Below are 24,548 nucleotides of genomic sequence, written 5' to 3' on the forward strand. Positions count from 1 at the left end.
GCTGGAGTGCAATGGTGCGATCTCAGCTCATCGCCACCTCCACTTCCTGGGTTCAAGCGACTCTCCTGTCTCAGCCTCCCAAGTAGCTGCGATTACAGGCATCCATCACCACACACAGCTAATTTTTAGTAGAGTCAGGGTTTCTCCATGTTGGTCAGGCTGGTCTCGAACTCCTGACTTCAGGTGATCCACCCGCCTCGGCCTCCCAAAGTGCTGGGATTACAGGCATGAGCCACTGCGCCCAGCTTTGTTTGTTTTTTAATAACAGAGTCTCACTGCATTGCCCAGGCTGGACTGGAGTGCAGTAGCACAATCACAGCTTGCTACAACCTCAAACTCCTGGATTCAAGTGATCCTCCCACCTCAGCCCCCCAGGTAGCTGGGACTACAGGTGTGTGCCATCACACCCAGCTAATTGGGTCTTTACTTTTTAGTAAAGACAAGGTCTCACTTTGTTGCCCAGGATGGTCTCAAACTCCTGCGCTCAACCAGATTTTTCCCAGCAGAAATACCCCTATGAGTTAAGAAGTCCGGGTGCGGTGGCTCACGCTTGTAATCCCAACACTTTGGGAGGCCGAGGTGGCTCGCCTGAGGTCTGGAGTTCCAGGCCAGCCTGGCCAATATGGTGAAACCCAATCTCTACTAAAAATACAAAAAATTACGTAGGTGTGGTGGTGGGCACCTATAATCCTAGCAACTTGGGAGGCTGAGGCAGAAGAATCGCTTGAACCTTGGGGGCGGAGGTTGCAGTGAGCCGAGATCACGCTATTGGACTCCAGCCTGGGCAACAAGAGTGAAACTCCTTTTAAAAAAAATGAGTTCAGAAATGTCATCTTTTTACACAGTGGGAAAAGAAAGATTGAGGAAAAGGCAGGTAAGGGTAAGAAAAGGGAATCTCTCAGACCTCAGTCGCCTTTTTAGGGAGATTCGCTTAAAAATAGATATATGTTTAAGTTGAGGCTCAGAAAACTGGTCGCCTTAGGGTGACTGGGATGGAGTTGGGGCACCATGGCATGTTCACCTTTCCCTCAATTTTTCTTTTTTTTTTTTTTTGAGACGGAGTCTCGCACTGTCACTCAGGCTGGAGTGCAGTGGCGCAATCTCAGCTCACTGTAAGCTCCGCCTCCCGGGTTCAGGCCATTCTCCTGCCTCAGCCTCCCAAGTAGCTGGGACTGCAGGCGCCCGCCACCACGCCCAGCTAATTTTTGTATTTTTAGTAGAGACGGGGTTTCACCGTGTTAGCCAGGATGGGTCGATCTCCTGACCTCGTGATCCGCCTGCCTCGGCCTCCCAAAGTGCTGGGATTACAGGCGTGAGCCACCGCGCCCGGCCTCCCTCATTTTTTCTTGTCTCCCCCTCCTGCAGCTTCCTGATCACTAGCACAGAGGACCCAGCGCTGAGACTGTCTAAAGCCGTAGGATAGTCATGGAGAATTCACCATTACATCTGCCAGAAAGAGCAATGTATGGCTCTGTTCTTTTCTTAAACTCCCAATTTGGCTTCATGCCTTGTCTACTATGGACTTTGGCTCCTGAATCTTGGCAAAATTCTTCATGCTTAAATTATTGGCTTCAAAAATACTGGGCAGTTGCATTACCTGTCTACCTCCTTAGTACTATAGTAACCAGTTATGTACTCTTTTTTGGCACTAAAGTAATGAGTATCTCTCTCTCCACTCAACTCCATTCGTAAAATCATACGCAACTATTCCAAAAATTAACAGCGAAAAAAATACCAAGGGCCGGGCGCGGTGGCTCAGGCCTGTAATCTCAGCACTTTGGGAGGCCGAGGCGCTGTAATCTCAGCACTTTGGGAGGCCGAGGCGGGCGGATCACGAGGTCAAGAGATTGAGACCATCCTGGCTAACATGGTGAAACCCCGTCTCTACTAAAAATACAAAAAATTAGCCGGGCGTGGTGGCGGGCGCCTGTAGTCCCAGCCACTGGGGAGGCTGAGGCAGGAGAATGGCGTGAACCCGGGAGGCGGAGCTTGCAGTGAGCCGAGATCCCGCCACTGCACTCCAGCCTGGGCGACACAGCGAGACTCCGTCTCAAACAAAACAAAACAAAACAAACGAAAAAAATACCAAGAAGCCATACCAGCATTAACACATATTCCTGTTAATGAAGTTAACCTAATGTTCTTTTTGGCAACCAAGAACTTTATACCAAAAACTGAATTGTATATAGATATTCTAACACCAAACATTTATATGTTTTTGCCATTATAATTGTGACCGTAATTATTTTTATCTCCTATTAAGATGTATTGAAATGTAAAATAAAACATACATCTAACTTATCTTTAAATTCCATTAATATTGTAAATGTTCTCAAATATTAGTTACTAATGGACAGAATTTTACAATACTTCATGAATATTTTTTAAAAAGGCCAGGCATGTTGACTCACGCCTGTAACTCCAGCACTTTGGGAGGCCGAGGTGCGTGGATCACCTGGGGTCAGGAGTTTGAGACCACCCTGGCCAACATGGTGAAACCCCAACTGTACCAAAAATACAAAAATTAGCTGGGCATGGTGGTGCATGCCTGTAGTCCAAGCTACTTGGGAGGCTGAGGCAGGAGAATCGCTGGAACCCGGGAGGTGGAGGTTGCAGTGAGCCGAGATTGCACCATCGCACTCCAGCCTGGGCAACAAAATCAAAACTCCGTCTCAAAAAAAATAATAATAATTAAAAACAACAACAACAAGCTCTTTCTGCCGTCTTACTGTGCCACCATAATGGTGCACATAAATGTCCTGGCAGATGTTCTCAAGAGCATCAACAATGCTGAAGAGAGAGGCAAAGGCTAGGTTCTTATTAGGCTTTGCTCCAAAGACAACATCTGGTTTCTCACTCTGATGATGAAGCATGTTCAAATGTTCAAATTTGAACATTGGCAAATTTGAGGTCATCGATGATCACAGAGCTGGGAAAATTGTTGAGAATCTCTCAGACAAGGTTACACAAGTGTGCAGTGATCAGGCCCAGATTCGACATATAACTCAAAGATCTAGAAAAATGGCAGAATAATCTCTTCCCTTCCCCTCTGTTTGGTTTCATTGTACTGACAACCTCACCTGACATCATGGGCCATGAAGAAGCAAAATGAAAACACACAGCGAGTAAAATCCTGGAATTCTTTTTCTAGGGATGTAATACACATGTACAAATAAAATGCTTCAGTGGACAAACAAAACAAAACAAAGCAACTGTTTAGGCCAACTTATCTGCTGGAAGTTCTCCAAGTACCGTAGAGGCAGCATGCACCAGCATCAAGGCCTCTGCTGTAGGACACCACCACCTCACTAGCCTATTCCCTTTGCCACCAGCCAGCTCCACTTCTTCATATAAATAGGCCTTGATTGGCCCATTGGAACCCAGAACCCAGTCTTTTTACCCCAAATCTAGTAGCATAGGGCTGGAAGTGAAATATAATAAGGATGGGGCACAGCACCTCTTTCATAATTTTTTTTTTTTTTGAGATGGAGTCTTGCTCTGTCGCCCAGGCTGGAGTGCAGTGGTGCAATCTTGGCTCTTACGGGTTCTATGCCATTCTCCTGCCTCGGCTTCCTGAGTAGCTGGGACTACAGGGGCCAGCCACCAAGCCTGGCTAATTTTTTTATATTTTTAGTAGAGACGGGGTTTCACCGTGTTAACCAGGATGTTCTCGATCTTCTGAGCTCGTGATCTGCCCGCCTCCGCCTCCCAAAGTGCTGGGATTACAGGCGTGAGCCACCGCACCCCGCCCATAATGTTTAACCTTGCCTTTTACTTAAAAGAATTCCGGGAACTGGCTTTAGGAAATCTAAATATTAAACTAAGGTTGTGGAGTGTCCCACCTCAGGAAGAAATGCTGAACAATTGATTTACAGCCTTGTTGCTGTTCGCCAGACCACCAGGTGGGTGATCCATTACTCAATAAAGCCATCAAAACCAGATAAGGCTGACCCGCATACTCTACCCCTCATGTGCTTTGCCCAGCCCAACCTGCATACTCTACCCCTGATTGTCTAATAAAGCAGAGTTAGTCAGGTAGTCCTCTCCGTTATGTCTGTGCATAAGCTCTAACAAGCCTTGTATGGGAACACTCCTTCAGCCTCATGTCAATTTCTATTGCACTGAGAGCCCAAGAACACGTGATCTTAAGTAACAGAAGGCTTTAACCTTTAAAAAATCTAATCACAGTAATCTTATTACACTGAAATTAACAGTTATTCTTTTTCTTTTTCGAGACGGAGTCTCGCTCTGTCGCCCACGCCGGAGTGCAGTGTCATGATCTCGGCTCACTGCAAGCCCCACCTCCCGGGATCACGCCATTCTCCTGCCTCAGCCTCCGGAGTAGCTGGGACTACAGGCGCCGGCCACCACGCCCGGCTAATTTTTTTGTATTTTTTAGTAGAGACGGGGTTTCACCGTTTTAGCCAGGATGGTCTCGATCTCCTGACCTCGTGATCCGCCCCGCCTCGGCCTCCCAAAGTGCTGGGATTACAGGCGTGAGCCACCGCGCCCAGCCCAACAGTTATTCTTAATATCATCAAATATCCAGTCAGTGTTCAAATTTTCGTTTTTTTTGTTTGTTTGAGACAGGGTCTTGCTCTGTCACCCAGGCTGGAGTGCAGTGGCACGATCTCAGCTCACTGCAACCTCCGTTTCCCAGGTTCAAGCGATTCGCCTGCCTCAACCTCCTGAGTAGCTGGGATTACAGGCACACACCACAACGCCTGGCTAATATTTGTACTTTTATAAGAGATGGGGTTTCACCATATTGGCCAGGCTTACCTCAGGTCTTAAACTCCTGACCTCAGGTGATCCACCTGCCTTGGACTCCCAAAGTGCTGGGATTACAGGCTTGAGCCACCTTGCCCAGTTTTTTTTTTTTTTTTTTTTAGACAAGGTCTTGCTCTGTCACCCAGGCTGGAGTGTAGTGGTGTGATTGTAACTGCCCAATGGGTTCACCTTGCCCACTGCCTACACAGAGCCCATTTATCAAGACAGGGGAATTGCAATAGAGAAAGAGTAATTCACACAGAGTGGGCTGTGTGGGAGACCAGAGTTTTATTACTCAAATCAATCTCCCCAAGCATTCAGGGATCAGAGTTTTTAAGGACAACTTGGTGGGAGGGGGGAAGCCAGTGAGCTGGGAGTGCTGATTGGTCAGATCAGAGATGAAATCATAGGGAGTCAAAGCTGTCTTCTTGCGCTGAATCAATTCCTGGGTGGGGGCCACCAAGATCATATCAGCCAGTTTATTGATCTGGGTGGTACCAGCTGATCCGTCAAGTGCAGGATCTGCAAAATATCTGTGGAATATCTCCCTGGTCTTAGGTTTTGCAGTAGTGGTCTTATCCCCAGAAGCCATTTGGGGAGAGTCAGAGTCTTGTAGCCTCCAGCTGCATGACTCCTAAACCATAATTTCTAATCCTGTGGCTAATTTGTTAGTACTGCAAAGGCAGTCTAAATCCCCAGGGTTTGTTTCGGGAAAGGGCTGTTATCATCTTTGTTTTAAACTATGAACAAGTGATCCTCCCACCTCAGCCTCCCAAAGTGCTGGGATTTTAGGCAGTAAGAAGAAATAAGGGATTAAAAGCAAAAGACCGAATTCTCTTTGTTTATTCATATGCTGTGTATTGACTGAACTACCAGATATTGAGGCTTCTTTGCTTATTAGCTGCATGACTTTGGGCAAGTCAAGTTCCACCTGAGCCTTGCAAGTCAGGCCTGGGGAGTCCAACCACCCAGAACCTTTGAGTCTCTGTTAGAGAGCAAGACCCTCTCTTAAGAAACAAAAATAAAACAAAAAAAGAGTATTGGGATATGGGGAGTTTGGCTCCTGTAGAAAGGGTAGTCTGGGAGGCCTGTTAGAGGAGTTAACATTGGACCTGAGACCTGAGGATGAACAGAAGCCATCCTGAAAGAACTGGGAAAATAAAGAGGTGGCCAGGCGTGGTGGCGCACGCCTGTAATCCCATCACTTTGGGAAGCTGAGGTGGGCGGATCACCAGGTCAGAAGTTCAAGACCAGCCTGACCAACATGGTGAAACCCCCCTCTACTAAAAATACAAAAACTAGCCAGGCGTGGTGGCATGGGCCTGTAATCTCAGCTACTCAGGAGGCTGAGGCAGGAGAAATCGCTTGAATCCAGGAGGCAGAGGTTGCAGTGAGCCGAGATTGCGCCACTGCACTCCAGCCTGGGTGACATAAGAAAACTCTGTCTCAAAAAGAAAAAAAAAAAATACAAAAATTTTCCGGGAGTGGTGGCGTGCTCCTGTAATCCCAGCTACTTGGGAGGCTAAGGCAGGAGAATTGCTTGAACCCAGGAGGCCGGGGTTGCAGTGAGCCAAGATCATGCCACTGCACTCCAGCTGTGGCAACAGAGACTGTCTCAAAAAAAAAAAAAAAGAAAGAAAGAAAGAAAGAAAAAGAAAAAAATAACTCGCAGAGGAAACAGCCAGTGCAAGGGCCCTGAGGCAGGTAGTTCCGTGTTTTTTGAGGAACAGAAAGAGAGTGTTTCTGTTGTAAGAGTAGTGCTAAGACAATGTTGAAGGGGCAGTCCGGATAGAATGAGAAGGTAGAAATTTAACCGAAACAGGAAGCCACTGAACAGTATTGGAGGGGGAGAAGGATTACAGAGGGGTCGTGGGAGAGGCCAGGGAGCAGTTGGAGGTGATTTCAGTGATCCAGGTGAGAGACAACGGGGGCTTGGACTGGGCTGGAGCTGTGGAGTTGGAGAGACGCCGGCAAATTCAAGGACTTAGGAATGGATTAACTGCGAGGGTTGAAGAAAAGGAATGAGGTGACCTTGGGGTTCAGGCCTGGGTGATGAGGCGCTTTAGTGGTGCCTTTATTCAGATTTGAGTCTGGAGTCGGGTCTGAGGGGTGGGGCTCGTTCAAGCGGAGGCACGGTGGAGACAGAGGGAATTGGACTCAGTCGGGGGGCAGCAATGGAAGTCAGCAATTGCTTAGGGCGGAATGCGATTTCCGGGGAGGAGGCGCGGGTATGTAGACAGAGGGGGTTGGGACACACCAGGAGGGGAGGAGCCAGCCCCAGAGATCGGGAATCCTCTCAGTCCTTAGTTACAAGGCTCCATCCTCACTTTGTTCGCTCCTCAGTCGTCCAGGCGGATTCCTTTTTCGCCAGGTAAGGCTGGCCCGGGTGCATGGGGCCCGGCGTGCCCTGGGTAAGGCTGGCCCAGGCGCGTGGGGTCCGGGGCGCGCCGGGTAAGGCTGGGCCAGGCGCGTGGGGTCCGGGGTGCCCCGGGTAAGGCTGGTCCAGGGGCGTGGGGTCCGGGGTGCCCCGGGTAAGGCTGGTCTAGGCGCGTGGGGTCCGCAGCGCCCCAAGTAAGGCTGGTCCAGGAGCGTGAGGTCCAGGGTGCCCCGGATAAGGCTGGTCCAGGCGCGAAGGGCGCGGGGTGCCCCGGGTAAGGCTGGCCCAGGTACGTGAGGCCCGAGGTGCCCCAGGCAAGGCTGATCCGGGTGCGTGCGTGGGGCCCGGGTAGGGGCAGGCAGTTGGCCCCCTCACTTGACTCCCTGCTCTTTCCCTTACTGTCCGTGGCGCAATGAGAAAAAAACTCTCCTAAGACTTATCTATCCCCAAATTGGAAACATGAAAGTAGTTCTGTGAAGAAAAAATAAAGTCAAGAAAATGAGGTGGTGCTTGACAAGTCCTAGCTTTAGAAAAAGGATGGAGGGGCCGGGAGCAGTGGCTCACGCCTGTAATCCCAGCACTTTGGGAAGCCGAGGCGGGCGGATCACCTGAGGTCGGAGTTCGAGACCATCCTGACCAACATGGAGAAACCTCGTCTCTACTAAAAATACAAAATTAGCCAGGCGTGGTGGCGCATGCCTGTAATCCTAGCTACTCAGGAGGCTGAGGCAGGAGAATCGCTTGAACCCGAGAGGCAGAGGTTGCACTGAGACGAGATCGCGCCATTGCGCTCCAGACTGGGCAACAGGGGCGAAACTGTCTCAAATAAAAAAAGATGGAGGGCCGGGCGTGTTATTTTCCAGCACTTTGGGAGGCCGAGGCGGGGGCGGATCACGAGGTCAGGAGATCGAGACCATCCTGGCCAACTTGGGAAACCCCGTCTCTACCAAAAATACAAAATTAGCCGGGTGTGTTGGCTCGCGCCTGTAGTCCCAGCTACTAGGGAGGCCGAGGCAGGAGAATCGCTTGAACCGGGGAGGCGGAGGTTGCAGTGAGCCGAGATCGGGCCACTACACTCCAGCCTGGGCGGCAGAGCGAAACTCCGTCTCAAAAAAAAAAAAAAGTGTTTAATTATGTGACTGGAAAAATTGATTTGGAAGTAATAACTTTTGCATTTTCTTCAATTTCCTCCGATTGTTAGGCAAATCGAATTCTTGTTCAAATTGCAAAAGGAAAGCGTGCCTTCCATAATAATAGACCCCAACTCTCACAAAGAAGAAACCATTCTCTCCGGCCCCTCCCTGGCCTCCTCAGATCCACCTCTGGGTCCTCCCATTCCCTGCAGCCCTCTCCCGACTTACACCCCAGACTCTGCTAATTGTGTGTGCCTTTTTAAGCAAACACATGCATAGATAAGTGCTTTTTTTTCCCAGTCTTCAATATAAGGTGATTTTCTACATTAAATAAACCTTAAACTTTGGTGTTATGAACTTGACTTGAATTCTAGGCACCAAGGCACAGCTTAGAGTAGACCCGAGTCCTGCTCTGCGGAGTTCGTCTTCCCAGCGAAGGTACAGAGGCGGATGAACTGCTGAGACTTGGTAAGTAGTTTAGTGGATTAGGGGTAGGATTAGTGGCGGGTAAGTGTGCGGGTGGGGTTGGGGTGGGGTATTTCATTTTTTGAGACGGAGTTTCGCTCTTGTCGCCCAGGCTGGAGTGCAATGGTGCCATCTCCGCTCACTGCAACCTACGCCTCCTGGGTTCAAGCGATTCTACTCCCTCAGCCTCCCAAGTAGCTGGGATTACAGGCGCCTGCCATTATACCCGGCTAATTTTTGTATTTTTAGTAGAGACGGGGTTTTGCCATTCGGCCAGGGTGGTCTCGAGCTCCTGACCTCAGGTGATCCTTCCACCTCCATCTCCTAAAGTGATGGGATTACAGGCGTGAGTCACTGCGCCTGGACTGGGGAGGGGTATTTTAGAGTGAAACAAGGGAAATGACCTTGGGTCTGATAAAGAAATGAGCCCTACTTATAATCTAGTGTGGGTCAGGACCCTTTTGCAGTCTGGTGCTATTAGCAGAACCCACAGTTCGTCATCGCTAGAAACCACATTTTGTTTCACATAACAGTTGTTGCAGGTTTTGCATTCTCACTACTTCAAGATTAAAAGGTAGGGCCAGGTGTGGTGGCTCACACCTGTAATCCCAGCACTTTGGGAGGTTGAGGAGGCCAGATCACTTAAGGTCAGCAGTTCGAGACCAGTCTGGCCAACATGGCGAAACCCCATCTCTACTAAAAAGTACCAAAATTAGCTGGGCATGGTGGCACGCTCCTGTAGTCCCAGCTACGTGGGAGGCTGAGGCAGGAGAATCGCTTGAACCTGGGAGGTGGAGGTTGCAGTGAGCCGAGATCCTGCCATTTCACTCCAGCCTGGGCAAGAGTGAGACGCCCTCTCAAAAAAAATAAATTATATATATATATATATATATATATATATATATATAGTTTAGTCCTGCTACTCAATCTTGTTTAGTAGTAGGTTAAGAAGCTCATATATTCCAAATTTTTTATTATCTAAAAAAGTTTTTTAGAGATGGTTTTGCTATGTTGCACAGGCTGGTCTCAAATTCCTGGCCTCAAGTGCTCCTGCTGCCCCGAAAGGTGCTGGGATTACAGGCTTGAGCCACCGCACCCAGCCCAGCACTTTGGGAGGCCGAGGTGGGCGGATCACCTGAGGTCTGGAGCTGGAGACCAGCCTGGCCAACATGGTGAAGCCCCATCCCTAAAAATACAAAAATTAGCTGGGTGCAGTGGTGCACGCTTGTAGTCCCAGCTACTCGGGAGGCTGAGGCAGGAGAATCACTTGAACCTGGGAAGCGGGGGTTGCAGTGAGCTGAGATTGTGCCACCTGCACTTCAGCCTGGGCGACAGTGAGACTCTGTCTCAAAAACAGAAGAAAACAAAACAAAACAAAACAAAACCCTGTAAATTACTTGAATGCCCACTGCTGAGGGAATTACTTATTGAACCAAAATATGTTCAAAATATGGCATGTCACACATAGAAGAGTGAGGTGTGCATATATAACTGGAAGATTACAAATGGCCTATTGAAAAAAAGAAAATAGTGTTAAAAGTATAAAGCTATTAAAAAAAAGTAAATGTCCCCATACCCAAGGAGAGAGACGTACTAACTAGAAGTCGAAGTTGGCATTCTCCTTTATTGTCCTCCCATGCACCCATAAAAACCAGGCACTTTATCTTGGTATGGTAGCATGCCTGTAATACCAGCTCCTCAGGAGACTGAGGTGAGAGGATCACTTGGTCCCTGGAGTTTGTGACCAGCGAACAGTGATCACACCACTGCTTGCCACGCTGGGCGAGAGTGAGATCTCAAAAAAAAAAGCAAAAACACAAAAGTCACCTGTACGTTGTGAGAGATACCACACCAAACTTTGGGTGGCCTCAGAGGTCAGATAATAGAGACTGAGGTGAGGGACTAGTAATTGTTCTTATTTAAAAAAAAAAAAAAGAAGAAAAGAGAAGTCCATAATCCCCCCAGCAAATTCAGAAAAACACACACACCGACCCCCCGCCGCCGCCCCACCCCGCCGATAAGAACAGGCTGCCAGTGTTGAAAAGGTAATACACCACAAAGGAAATGCAAGCAGATAAACATATGAAAAGATGGCAGTCACAAGCCAAGGCAATGCAAATCAACAAGCTTTTTTCCATCCCTAAAATTAAAGGAAGTTTATCCGCCCTCCCAACCCCCAGTCCCTTGAGGGAAGTGCTAAACATTTCTTGCCCTTTCCAACCGGTGCTCTCCTGTATTGTATACTTTTAAAGTAACCTCCTTAAAATACAAAGCAGAACTTGGGAGTACACTGGTGAAAATCTCCGGTCTCCCTAATCACTTTTTTTTTTTTGGCAGGGTCTTGCTCTGTCACCCAGGCTGGAATGCAGTGATGCAATCATAGCTTAGAGTAACCTTGAACTCCTGGGCTCAAATAATCTGACCGCCTCAGCCTCCCAAGTAGCTGGGACTGCAGGCAGAAGCCAGGACGTCTGGTCCCTGAGCCCTTTTGATGGCTACCATCCAACCCTGAGACAAAATTTGCTAAACTTGTACCAGCCTCTGCTTTCTTCTTGATCAGGGATTTTGAACCCAGAGTGCCTGGGTAGTGTCTGGCTAGAATTCAGAGTATCTGATATCTTGGATGTGAAAAAGGTCACATATATTTATTGTCATTAAACGCTAATCATAATTTAGCATTTAGCATTTGAGGCTGGGAGCAGTGGCTCATGTTTGTAATCTCAGCACTTTGGGAGGCTGAGGCAGGTGGATCACCTGAGGTCAGGAGTTTGAAACCAGCCTGGCCAACATGGTGAAACCCCGTCTCTACTAAAAATACAAAAATTAGCCGGGCATGGTGGCGTGTGCCTGTTGTCCCAGCAACTCAGGAGGCTGAGGCGGGAGAATCGCTTGAACCCAGGAGGCAGAGTTTGCAGTGAGCCAAGATTGTGCCACTGCACTCCAGCCTAATCCACAGAGTGAGACTCTTGTATCAAAAAAAAAAAAAAATCAGCATTTGATACAGTTAACAACAAATAATAAATCCCACCGTGCCCGGCTGTAATTTTCAGTTTTAAGCCAGGCATGGTGGTGCGTGCTTGTATTCCCAGCTACTCAGGAGGCTGAGACAGGAGTTTGAGTGTAGCCTCGGCAACATCGCAAGACCCTGTCTCTTTTAAAAAAAATAACTTAATTTCGAGTTTCTCATTGCACCTGTCATGTACTATAGAGTGACTCTTGGAAAACACATTACCCAAAAAAGGTAGTGTTAGATAATAGGGCACTGGCCAGATTAATTACTGAAAAGGTCAAAAAATCCCCAGGGTCACTATGAATGTGGCCAGGGTGGATATTTGCCCCTGCACTGGCTGTAATCAGGGTGTTCAAACACTGGAATGTGTTTTGATTTGCATTCTCCTGACTAATATAATCTTTTTGTGTTTACTGTACATATGGTTTTTGTATATGTGTTTACAAAATTGGATTGTACTCTATATTTTCTGCACCATTTTTTCCCTCTAGTATACCAAAGACATCCTTAACCAATGGGTATGATTCTAATATACTCTTATTATGTATGGTATAATTTTTATATGTACGTTGAACATATTGTATGCACCATATAGAGTATATATATCATAACATGGTGTATATATATATAACAATGTATATTATGGTTATGATTATTTGAGACGGAGTTTCACTCTTGTTGCCCAGGTTGGAGTGCAATGGCGTGGTCTCAGCTCACTGCAACCTCCGCCTCCCGCATTCAAGCAATTGTCTTGCCTCAACCTCCCGAGTAGCTGGTGGAGCCCGCCACCACGCCTGGCTAATTTTTGTATTTTTAGTAGAGACGGGGTTTCACCATGTTGGCCAGGCTGGTCTTGAACACCTGACCTCAGATGATCCGCCTGCCTTGGCCTTCCAAAGTGCAGGAATTACAGGCGTGAGCCACTGTGCCTGGCCATAATGTATATTATAATGTATATTTTATAAATTAATGTATTTATGTACTTATATATAGTTATATCTATTCTATATAATCCCATCGTGTGCATAAATCATCATTTGTTCCACCCTTCTCTTATTAAAGGACATTGTTTTCTAGTATTTTTTGGCCAGAAAAAACTCAGTACTAAAATTTCTATTCATGTATTCCTAAGTGTACAGGTGGTTTCATTCCTAATGGTAGATTCTCAAGGGGAGAGTATATGTATTATTTCTGACTTTAATAATAGGCTTTTCGTTTCCTGAAATGTTTAATAACTATTCCTACTTCTGATGGGTAAAAGTGGTCTCATTGTTTTTTTATTATGTACTCAACTCCTGGGATTGGGCCACCTTTCACATGTTTACTATTGATTTACATTGTCTTTCCTAAAAATATTTTATTTAGTTTTAGTTTATTTGTTTTATTTTATTTTTATTTTTACTTTTTTTTTGAGATGGAGTCTTGCTCGCTCTGTTGCCCAGGCTGTAGTGCAGTGGCGTTAACCCTAATTCAACCTCTGTCTACCGAGGTCAAGTGATTCTCCTGTCTCAGCCTCTGGAATAGCTGGGATTACAGGTGCCCGCCATCATGCCCAGCTAATTTTTGTATTTTTAGTAGAGACAGGGTTTCACCATGTTGGCCAGGCTGGTCTGGAACTGCTGACCTCAGGTGATCTGCCCTCCTCAACTTCCCAAAGTGCTGGGATTACAGGCATAAGCCACTGCAACCGGCCTCAAGTACATTTATTGTAGCGTTTATTGGACACAATAAAGGCACAATTGTTATCAGAAAAATTTGTCCTTATGTGCCTGTAGAAGTTTACCCTTGTTTTCAGCTTTCTGTGTCATCTTGGCAAGTCAAGTAGAAGTCTATTTCACCAGGGAGAGCTCAGTGGTTTTCCTTAAGGATTTTCAGTTTAAAAAAAAATATTAGAAGCATTATCAGGCTAGACCCGGTGCCACTGCACTCCAACCTCGGCGAGTGAGACCCTGCTTAAAAAAAAAAAAAAAAAAAAATTAGCATATTCAAACATCAATAAAAGTAAGAACTCATCACCTAGATTCAAAAACAAATATTTTCCCCCATTTGTTTAATCTCTCTTTTTTCTTTCTTAGTTGTTTGCTGTGTTTTAAAGTAAATCCCAGACATCATGCCATTTCACCTGTAAAAACTTCAGTATGTAGCTCTTATAAAATAAGGAGACTTTCTTAACTAAATACAGTATTGTTACAGTTAATAAAATATATATTCCTCAATATTTAATAATCAGTCCATATTCAGTACTCCCTGCATTTTACAGTTGATTCATTCAAATAGAGATCCAAAATAGGGGGAGCGTACATTGCATCTAGTGAATTCCCTTAGTCTCCTGAATGAGAGTGGGCCCCTTTATTCCTGTTGAAGTCCTGTATAGGGTCCTATGGACCTGTCCGGTGGACTATTTGGTTGCTTTCTCAGTCCTTGATTAGATTCAGACACTACTGGTGCTGGGTTTTTAAAATTTACTTAATTAAGAGGGATGAGGCTGGGTGAGGTGGCTCACGCCTGTAATCCCAGCACTTTGGGAGGCCGAGGTGGGTGGATCACCTGAGGTTGGGAGTTCGAGACCAGCCTGACCAACACGGAGAAACCTTGTCTCTACTAAAAGTACAAAATTAGCCAGGCGTGGTGGCACATGCCTGTAATCCCAGCTACTTGGGAGGCTTAGGCAGGAGAATCGCTTGAACCTGGGAGGTGGAGGTTGCGGTGAGCCGAGATCATGCCATTGCATTCCAGCCTGGACAACAAGAGTGAAACTTCATCTCAAAAAAAAAAAAAGGCTGAGGGTGAAATGTGTAATTAATATTGATTCCTTCTCTTTTTTAGTAATCATTTACATGTTTTACATGTTTCCTCTTTTGACCTTTACTCTGGTGTAATCAAGATTTTCTGTATACATTTGTCCCCCTTACCTCCTGTTGCTCATATTTTGGAAGTTACTTTGTGATAAATGAGTGCCGTGTTTTTTAAACAATTTTTTGTAACTATCATGCTTTTTTCTTTTTCTTTTCTTTTTTTTTTTTTTTAGCTGTTCATTTAAAATTTTTTATTTTTTATTTTTTTGAGACAGAGGCTTACTCTGTAGCCCAGAGGCGTGATCTGGGCTCATTGCAACTTCCACATCCAGGGTTTAATTTTTTTTTTTTTTTTTTTTTTTTGAGACAGAGTCTTGCTCTTTTGCTCTTGTCGCCCAGGCTGGAGGCAATGGCACGATCCCAGCTCACTGCAACCTCCGCCTCCTGGCTTCAACTGATTCTCCTGCCTCAGCCTCCTGAGCAGCTGGGATTACAGGAACCCACCACCACGCCCAGCTAAATCTGTATTTGTAGTAGAGACAGGGTTTCACCATGTTGGCCAGGGTAGTCACGAACTCCTGACCTCAGGTGATCTGCCCACCTCGGCCTCCCAAAGTGCTGGGATTACAGGCATGAGCCACCTCACCCAGCCTAATTTGTTTTTTAAAAAAACTGGAGATGAGGTCTCACTGCATTGCTGAGGCTGGTCTCAAACTCCTGGGCTCAAGCAATCCGCTCACTCACCTCGGCCACCGAAAGTGCTGGGATTACAGGTGTGAGCCACTGCGCTTGGCCTGTTTTAAATTTTTATGGTTACATAGTAGATGTATATATTTATTTCCATACAGGCATGCAATGTGTAATAATCACATCAGGGTAAATGGGGGTATCCTATGCACTACCTCAAACATTTATCATTTCTTCTTGTTACAAACATTCCAATTATACTGTTTAAGTATACAATAAGCTATTGTTGAGTGTAGTTACCCTGCTGTGCTATCAAATACTAGATTATTTTTGTACCCATTAACCATCCCTATTCCCTACATCCACCCACCTACTACCCTTCCCAGGCTCTGGTAACTATCATTCTACTCTCTTTTTTTTTTGAGACAGGGTCTCACTCTGTCGCCCGGTACAGTGGCGTGATCTTGGCTCACTGCAACCTCCACCTCCCAGGTTCAAGTGATTCTTATACCTCAGCCTCCTGAGTAGCTGGGACTACAGGTGCGTGCCACCACGTCTGGCTAATGTTTTTTTTCTTTTGAGACGGAGTCTCGCTCTGACGCTCAGGCTGGAGTGCAGTGGCACGATCTAGGCTCACTGCAAGCTCTGCCTCCCAGGTTCATGCCATTCTCCTGCCTCAGCCTCCCAAGTAGCTGGGACTGCAGGTGCCTGCCACCACACCCAGCTAATTTTTTGTTTTTATATTTTTAGTAGAGAAAGGGTTTCACCGTATTAGCCAGGATGGTGTCTTATCTCCTGACCTTGTGATCCACCTGCCTCGGCCTCCCAGAGTGTTGGGATTACAGGTGTAAGCCACCACGCCTGGCCTCTGCTAATTTTTGTATTTTTAGTAGAGATGGGGTTTCGCCATCTCGGCCAGGCCGGTCTCAAAGTCCTGACCTCAGGGGATCCACCTGCCTTGGCCTCCCAAGGTGCTGGGATTCTAGATGTGAGTCGCCGTGCCTGGCCTTTTTTCGCTATTCTCTAGAAGAGTTTGGGCACAGCTAAGATAATAGTTGCTTCTAAATTTTCTGATTTAATTATGAAAGTTGAATGGTGCTCCCATTTTTGAACCATGCTTTATCTGTAGTTGTGTCCCCTTGTTATTCATAGTATTCCTTATTTGTATTTTGGTTTTGTTAATTCTCTATAAGTTTCTGTTTTTCATTTCTTTGATTTGCGCGCATCTCTTTTGGTTTCTTGGGTAGATTTTGCCCTTGATCTGGTAATTTAACTTTAATTTTTATTCTTTCTAGAAAATTCTAAAATTTTAAGTCTATACATTTTCCTCAAAGCACCACTTTAGCTACATTCCCCAAGTTTTGATAGGTAGTTATCATTTTGATTTAGTATTTTAAGTTTCTCCATTAGTTTGACTGAATAGTCATTTTAAAATTTAAATAACTTTAACCTTTAGTATTTAAACATTAAACATAGAAGTTTTTAAGTTTAATTTATCTTTTACTTTTATGCTATCCTTTTTCCTGATTCAATTTTTATTGCAATGAAAAATTTCTGAAATTATTTTTTAGAAACAGCGTCTCACTATGTTGCCCAGGCTGATGTTGAACTTCTGGGCTCAAGTAATCATTCCACCTTAACCTCCCAGAGTGCTAGGATTACAGGTGTGGCACCGTGCCCTGCTTGAAATTCTTGGTTGGGTGCTGAGCATATATCTTTTGCCCTGACAAGAATGACATTTTAGCTGCTTATGTGATTCTTATTTTGCAGGGGAGGGGACAGGGTCTCACACTGTCACCCAGGCTGGAGTGCAATGGTGCGATGTCAGCTCACTGCATCCTCTGCCTCCCTCAGGCTCAAGTGATCCTCTTACCTCAGCCTCCCTTATTACTGGGACTACAGTGCACGCCACCACACCAGGCTAATTTTTGTTAGAGACAGTTTCACCATGTTACCCAGGCAGGTCTCAATCTCCTGAGCTCAAGTGATTCACCTGCCTTCACCAGGGAAGCCTTTTCTAGATCTCCCTGTACTCTAAAAATCAATATTCTTGGCTGGGTGCAGTGGCTCAAGCCTGTAATTCCAGCACTTTGGAGGCCGAGGCAGGCGGATCACGAGGTCAGGAATTCGAGGCCAGCCACCAACATGGTGAAACCTCGTCTCCACTAAAAATACAAAAAAAAATTACCTGGCACCTGTAATCCCAGCTACTCGGGAGGCTGAGGCGGGAGAATTGCTTAAAGCTGGGAGGCGGAGGTTGCAGTGAGCCGAGATCGCGCCATTGCACTCCAGCCTGGGTGACAAGAACAAGACTGTCAAAAGAAAAAAACAAAATAAAACCAACGAAAACTCTCTTTCTCTCTCTCTCTCTTTCTCTCTCTCTCTCTCTCTCTCTCTCTCTATATATATATATATATATATATATATTTTTTTTTAGACAGTCTTGCTGTGTTGCCCAGCCTGCAGTTCAGTGGCTTGAACTTGGCTCACTGAAACCTCTGCCTCCCAGGTTCAAGCAATTCTTATGCCTCAGCCTCCTGAGTAGCTGGTATTACAGGCACGTGCCACCATACCTGGCTAATTTTTGTATTTTTGTAGAGACGGGGTTTTGCCACGTTGGCCAGGCTGGTCTTGAACTCCTGACCTCAAATGATCCACCCACCTCAGCCTCCCAAAGTGCTGGGATTACAGGCGTGAGCCACTGTGCCTGCCTAACAATATTATTCTGTTGAGACAAGGTCTCACTCTGTCACCCAAGGTGTGGAGTGCAGGGGCACAATCACAGCTCACTGCAGTCTTAACTTTCCAGGCTCAAGTCATCCTTGCATCTGAACCTCCCAAGTAGCTGGGACCACAGGCGTGTGTCACTATGCCCAGCTAATTTTTTATTTTTTTGTAGAGACAGGTCACCCTATGTTGCCCAGGCTGGTCTCGAACTCCTGGGGTCAAGTGATCCTCCCACCTCAACCTCTCAAAGTGCTGGGATTGCAGGTGTGAGCCACCATGCCTGGCCAAGAAAGTCATTTTGAATTGACTTGATAATTGGTTTTCAGAAAAAGTCTTAATGTTAACAATCTCTGCAATTCAAAAGGGACAACTATTTCTCAATTTTGCGTAAGATTCTATTCAAGTTAGCTTAGATTTGGATGATTTGGTATGATACATATGTTGGTTTCTTAAAGAATAACATCTATTATAATTAATCTCATTATAGAGAACACAGACAACAAAGTTAATAGTATGGCAAATCAGACAGCTTCATTCTTAGTTATCTGCTCTTTGGTTAATTTATTGCATTCAAATCACTATGTAAAGGGAATTTTCATGATAATTTATAAATTTTGAATTCTAATTTTCTAATCTTACCCATTTTGCTAGTGAACTTTTTATTAATTTATTATGGAGTGCACCCAGCATAGTTTTCTTAACTAAGCTCATATTCTTACCAAGTTTCTCAAGAGAATTCTTTAGTAAGTAATTTTTCATTTTTTTGTATTTCAGATTGACGTATTTTAAGATTTTTTTAACTTCTGAAGTCTAGCAGGCCTGTAAGAACAAAAATCATTCTGTAGGAATTAAAAACAGAATCCAGTCTTGACAACATATCCACAATGTCTGATGTATCTACTAGTGTACAATCAAAATTTGCTAGACTTGCAAAGAAAAAGGAAAATATCACCTATATGAAAAGAGAGCAGTTAACAGAAACTGATAAGGACATAGCTCCGGTATTAGATTTAAAATGCAAGGACGTATCAGCAATTATGAATAAGTTTAAGGTCTTAATGGAAATTCAAGACCTGATGTTTGAGGAGATGAGGGAAACTCTTAAAAATGACCTAAAAGCAGTTTTAGGGGGAAAAGCTACAATACCTGAGGTAAAGAATTCAGAGAACTCCAGTAGTAGGACAGAGTTTCAGCAAATAATCAATTTAGCATTACAAAAAACAGGGATGGTAGGGAAAATAGAAGGAGAAAACTCTAAAATAGGTGATGATAATGAAAATTTAACCTTTAAATTAGAAGTAAATGAGCTGAGTGGTAAATTAGACAACACTAACGAATACAATAGTAATGATGGTAAGAAATTACCCCAGGGTGAATCACGAAGTTACGAAGTCATGGGAAGTATGGAAGAAACCTTATGCAATATAGATGACAGAGATGGAAATCGCAATGTCCATTTAGAATTTACAGAAAGAGAGAGTAGGAAGGATGGAGAGGATGAATTTGTCAAAGAAATGAGAGAGGAAAGAAAATTTCAGAAATTGAAGAATAAAGAGGAGGTTTTAAAAGCCTCCAGAGAAGAAAAAGTGTTGATGGATGAAGGAGCAGTACTTACCCTGGTAGCCGACCTTTCATCAGCAACACTGGATATTAGTAAGCAATGGAGTAATGTCTTCAACATTCTGAGAGAAAATGATTTTGAACCTAAATTTCTGTGTGAAGTTAAATTAGCATTTAAATGTGATGGTGAAATAAAGACATTTTCAGATCTGCAAAGCCTTAGAAAATTTGCCAGCCAAAAATCTTCTGTGAAAGAATTACTGAAAGATGTACTCCCACAAAAGGAAGAAATAAATCAAGGAGGAAGAAAATATGGAATTCAAGAAAAAAGGGTAAGCATACAAATGTATAAATGTATAAAGCTTATGTATAAATGTAATAGTAGGCATGGTTATTTTGAAGGATAAATCAATTTTTTTTTTCTTGAGATGGAGTTTCGCTCTTGTCGGCCAGGTGGGAGTGCAGTGGCACGATCTCGGCTCGCTACAACCTCTGCCTCCCAGGTTCAAGTGATTCTCCTGCCTTGGCCTCCCAAGTAGCTGGGATTACAGGCATGCACCACCACGCCCAGATAATTTTGTATTTTCAGTAGAGACGGGGTTTCTCCATGTTGGTCAGGCTGGTCTCAAACTCCCGACCTCAGGTGATCCACCTCGGCTACCCAAAGTGCTGGGATTACAGGCGTGAGCCACTGGGCCCAGCCGGTTAAATCAAATTTTAAAAAATGATTCCTTAAAAGTAAAAGCATGATATTAAAAGTAATGATTTAAAGGGCACTTTTTTTTTCTGTGAAGGTTTTATTATGGGCAGAGGGCAAGGGGGCCTTAGTCCTTCTTGGCAGCTGGTTTCATCATGGTGGCCAAGACGGCACTCAGCTCCTCTCCCTGTTGGTGTGAATGTGTGACCTCACCCTTTTCTTGATGAACTTGAGGGCCTGTTTGTCCTTTGAGACCTTGAACAACTCCGTGGTGTGATACTCTACGTGGCGAAGCAACACACCTCTCAGATCATGTCCCACACTAACTTAGTGTGTTTGGTCAGGTGCCTGAAACAGCGGCAGTGCCTGGGCTTTTGCTCATGTTCTTGATCACCTTGTTGCCCTTGTTGAGACCCAAAGCCTTGGGGTCACACAGAGCAGTGGCTGCTGTTCTCCAATGGCTGCTGTGCTGGAAGGGGCTTTTTTTTTTTTTTTTGAGATAAAGTCTTGCTCTATTGCCCTGGTGGGGGTGCAGTGGCTCAATCTGGGCTCACTGCACCCTCCACCTCCCAGGCTCAAGTAATCCTCCTACTCCAGCCTCCTGATAGCTGGGACCACATGCATGCACTACCACACCCAGCTAATTTTTGTACTTTTTATAGAGACGAGGTTTTGCCATGTTGCCCATGCTGGTCTCGAACTCCTGGGCTCAAGCAGTCTACATGCCTTGGCCTCCCAAAGTGCTGGAATTACAGGTGTGAGCCACCATGCCCAGCCAAGGTCTATATTCGTAAGCCAATATTTTTTTACATGTTTTCAAATGAACGCTTCTCCTCTGCCTTTCCAACATTTCCAAGTGTAACCTCTGCAAAGTGAGAATCCATAAGGAAAAGGTACACTTGAATCAACAAATTATTTAAGAATCAGTATTTAATCTCAGAAATTAGCTGCCTTCCAGTGTTTCACAGATGAGGCACCTAACCTGTCTGGTGGGTTTGGGAAGGTTGAAAAGCTCAGTGGCAGACTAAGGGCTTCAAGGAATATTAGGAGCCAACATTTATATTGCAGACATCATCAGAAGCTCAATACCTTGCTTACTTTATATTACAAAAATCCTGGAGTGATGCTGCCATTAGACCCTGCTTTATAAGGAAAATTGAGGCACTAGTAGCAAATGTGGCAATCGGGCCAGGGTTTGAATAGTTTTGAACTGAGCTTGTTGTATTCCTAACCAAAGCCTGCTTGTCTTTAAAGTCCTAAGGCTAGAGTGTAAACTGCAATTGGGGTCTTTTTTTTTTTTTTTTTAATTGGGTTTGTTGTCTGTGGAGAAAGGTAAATGTGAGCCTGGGGTTTTTGTTTGTGTGTGCTTATGATCTTCCTAAAGCAGATTGTAAACTTTAGCCAGATTACAATGCCTATTTACCATAGGACTCTCACATACAATAAGCAGACAATTGATTAAAATAGGTAATTACTGAGGATCAATCACATACACAGCAGTAAGTGTTCAGGGATCTAGAAGGAAGAAAGTAGACATTATGACCTCAGAATTTGTTTCAAGATTACACAAGAAATGACAAATATCTTGAGATGATCATAGGGAGACTTGACTTGTTTGGGGACCTAGGCCTTCAAGAACAATTAATATTTAAGCACTTTTTCAGATATTTTCTGTCAGAATTGAAGCCATATTAAAATTAGTGAAATTGAAATTTTAATTCTTTAAAAGACAAATGATTTAAACAAATAACTCTTTTTTTTCTTCTTTGTTTAACTTTCAGGATAAAACCCTAATAGACTCAAAGCATAGAGCTGGAGAAATAACCAGTGATGGCTTGAGCTTCCTATTTCTTAAAGAAGTAAAAGTTGCTAAGCCAGAGGAGATGAAAAACTTAGAGACTCAAGAGGAAGAGTTTTCCGAGCTAGAGGAGCTGGATGAAGAGGCCTCAGGGATGGAGGATGATGAAGATACCTCAGGGCTGGAGGAGGAGGAGGAAGAGCCCTCAGGGCTGGAGGAGGAAGAAGAAGAAGAGGCTTCAGGGTTGGAGGAGGATGAGGCCTCAGGGCTAGAGGAGGAAGAGGAACAGACTTCAGAACAGGACTCAACCTTTCAGGGTCATACTTTGGTAGATGCAAAGCATGAAGTTGAGATAACCAGTGATGGCATGGAAACTACTTTCATTGACTCTGTAGAGGATTCTGAATCAGAGGAGGAAGAAGAAGGAAAGAGCTCTGAAACAGGAAAGGTAAAGACTACCTCCCTGACTGAGAAAAAAGCCTCACGTAGACAAAAAGAAATTCCCTTTAGTTATTTGGTTGGGGACTCTGGGAAGAAAAAGTTGGTGAAACACCAGGTGGTGCACAAAACCCAGGAGGAAGAGGAAACAGCTGTGCCCACAAGTCAAGGAACTGGCACACCCTGTCTGACCTTATGTTTGGCCTCTCCCTCAAAGTCACTAGAGATGAGTCATGATGAGCATAAAAAGCATTCACATACAAATTTGAGTATTTCAACAGGAGTCACCAAACTTAAGAAAACAGAAGAAAAGAAACACAGAACTCTGCACACAGAAGAACTAACATCCAAAGAAGCAGACTTAACAGAGGAAACAGAAGAAAACTTGAGAAGTAGTGTGATTAATAGCATCAGAGAGATAAAAGAGGAGATTGGAAATTTGAAAAGTTCCCATTCAGGTGTCTTGGAAATTGAAAATTCAGTAGATGATCTGAGTAGCAGAATGGACATACTTGAAGAAAGAATAGACAGTCTAGAAGATCAAATTGAAGAATTCTCTAAGGATACAATGCAAATGACCAAACAGATAATTAGTAAAGAAAGGCAAAGAGATATAGAGGAGAGATCTAGAAGTTGCAACATTCGTTTGATAGGAATTCCAGAAAAGGAGAGTTATGAGAATAGGGCAGAGGACATAATTAAAGAAATAATTGATGAAAACTTTGCAGAACTAAAGAAAGGTTCAAGTCTTGAGATTGTCAGTGCTTGTCGAGTACCTAGTAAAATTGATGAAAAGAGACTGACTCCTAGACACATCTTGGTGAAATTTTGGAATTCTAGTGATAAAGAGAAAATAATAAGGGCTTCTAGAGAGAGAAGAGAAATTACCTACCAAGGAACAAGAATCAGGTTGACAGCAGACTTATCACTGGACACACTGGATGCTAGAAGTAAATGGAGCAATGTCTTCAAAGTTCTGCTGGAAAAAGGCTTTAATCCTAGAATCCTATATCCAGCCAAAATGGCATTTGATTTTAGGGGTAAAACAAAGGTATTTCTTAGTATTGAAGAATTTAGAGATTATGTTTTGCATATGCCCACCTTGAGAGAATTACTGGGGAATAATATACCTTAGCACGCCAGGGTGACTACAAACAATATGCTTTCCTCCCCCAGCATGCATCCAAAAATCAACAAGTAAAACGAAAATACACTTCTACCCAGAAGGATGGACAGCTAATAGCGTACTTGGGGATGAGGAGCAAGGAATATTACAGATATTACCTAGATGTTAATAAAGGGTATGTTTAAAAAAAATAGGCTGGTCTCAATGTAGTGAGTTATTTCAGTTGATCACAGTCAGTTACAGATAGAATTCCTTGTTTTACTTCCCCCCCACCACCTCCCTACTGCAGTTGACTAGTCTTTTTAGAATTTATATTATCTGGCTGGGCACGGTGGCTCACACCTGTAATCCCAGCACTTTGGGAGGCCGAGGCGGGTGGATCACGAGGTCAGGAGATCGAGACCATCCTGGCTAACACAGTGAAACCCCGTCTCTACTAAAAATAAAAAAAATTAGCCGGGCATGGTGGCGGGCGCCTGTAGTCCCAGCTACTTGGGAGGCTGAGGCAGGAGAATGGCGTGAACCCAGGAGGCGGAGCTTGCAGTGAGCCGAGATCACACCACTGCACTCCAGCCGGAGCCACAGAGCGACACTCCGTCTCAAAAAAAAGTATATTGTGCTAGCTTGTCTAAGAATAAACTTCTATACTGTTGGGGGAGGGCTGCACCTGTCAAGATAACCTGTCAATGTAGTAGGAAAACAGGAGGGGACAGTAACAGAAAAGCACGGGAAAAGATGGCAAGGTTAGTTAAAATAGAAAAGTGCTCAGTTCCTCATACCTGTAATCCCAGCAGTTTAGGGGGCCAAGGCAGGTGGGTCACTTGAGCCCAAGAGTTCAAGGCCATCCTGGGCAATGTGGCGAAAGTGTCTACAAAAAAATACAAAAAGAGGAAGAAATGATATTTCACAAGTTTGTATCATTTGTCATGATGTGACTCGAATATATTAAATCTTTTTCCTTTGAA

The 24,548-nt window shown here is 44.6% G+C and overlaps 1 protein-coding gene and 2 pseudogenes across 2 annotated transcripts, besides 2 other annotated features; all 3 read left to right on the top strand.

The window, feature by feature from the left end:
* On the top strand, positions 1,317 to 1,743 carry PIGPP2 (phosphatidylinositol glycan anchor biosynthesis class P pseudogene 2; annotated as a pseudogene).
* RPS15AP7 (ribosomal protein S15a pseudogene 7) lies at positions 2,712 to 3,191 on the top strand (annotated as a pseudogene).
* Positions 6,212 to 7,068: an enhancer, noted in NCBI's record as "OCT4-NANOG-H3K27ac-H3K4me1 hESC enhancer chr1:62659664-62660520 (GRCh37/hg19 assembly coordinates)". NCBI's record gives its function as "activates a minimal SCP1, AML or CMV promoter by ChIP-STARR-seq in primed H9 embryonic stem cells {active_cell/tissue: H9 hESC(primed)}" and the evidence as "EXISTENCE:reporter gene assay evidence [ECO:0000049][PMID:30033119]".
* Positions 7,069 to 7,924: an enhancer, noted in NCBI's record as "OCT4-NANOG-H3K27ac-H3K4me1 hESC enhancer chr1:62660521-62661376 (GRCh37/hg19 assembly coordinates)". NCBI's record gives its function as "activates a minimal SCP1, AML or CMV promoter by ChIP-STARR-seq in primed H9 embryonic stem cells {active_cell/tissue: H9 hESC(primed)}" and the evidence as "EXISTENCE:reporter gene assay evidence [ECO:0000049][PMID:30033119]".
* L1TD1 (LINE1 type transposase domain containing 1) lies at positions 7,069 to 24,548 on the top strand. 2 transcript variants are annotated; one of them, NM_001164835.2, is made up of 5 exons: positions 7,069 to 7,141; positions 8,655 to 8,748; positions 15,667 to 15,777; positions 18,739 to 19,856; positions 22,003 to 24,548. In NM_001164835.2, the coding sequence occupies exons 4-5, from the start codon at positions 18,849 to 18,851 to the stop codon at positions 23,590 to 23,592; spliced, it is 2,598 nt and encodes an 865-aa protein (NP_001158307.1). In that variant the 5' UTR covers positions 7,069 to 7,141; positions 8,655 to 8,748; positions 15,667 to 15,777; positions 18,739 to 18,848; the 3' UTR covers positions 23,593 to 24,548. The 2 variants fall into 2 exon arrangements, with proteins under 2 accessions (NP_001158307.1, NP_061952.3); NM_019079.5 differs by lacking the exon at positions 15,667 to 15,777.

This window comes from Homo sapiens, chromosome 1 (genome assembly GCF_000001405.40).
Source record: "Homo sapiens chromosome 1, GRCh38.p14 Primary Assembly".
NCBI classification, from domain to species: Eukaryota; Metazoa; Chordata; class Mammalia; order Primates; family Hominidae; genus Homo; species Homo sapiens.

Bases quoted from the DNA above. Each gene is read 5' to 3' on its own strand.
- L1TD1 (NM_001164835.2), top strand. From the start codon at position 18,849: ATGTCTGATGTATCTACTAGTGTACAATCAAAATTTGCTAGACTTGCA. The intron at 19,857-22,002 runs GTAAGCATACAA...TTTAACTTTCAG, and splicing joins ATGGAATTCAAGAAAAAAGG to GATAAAACCCTAATAGACTC.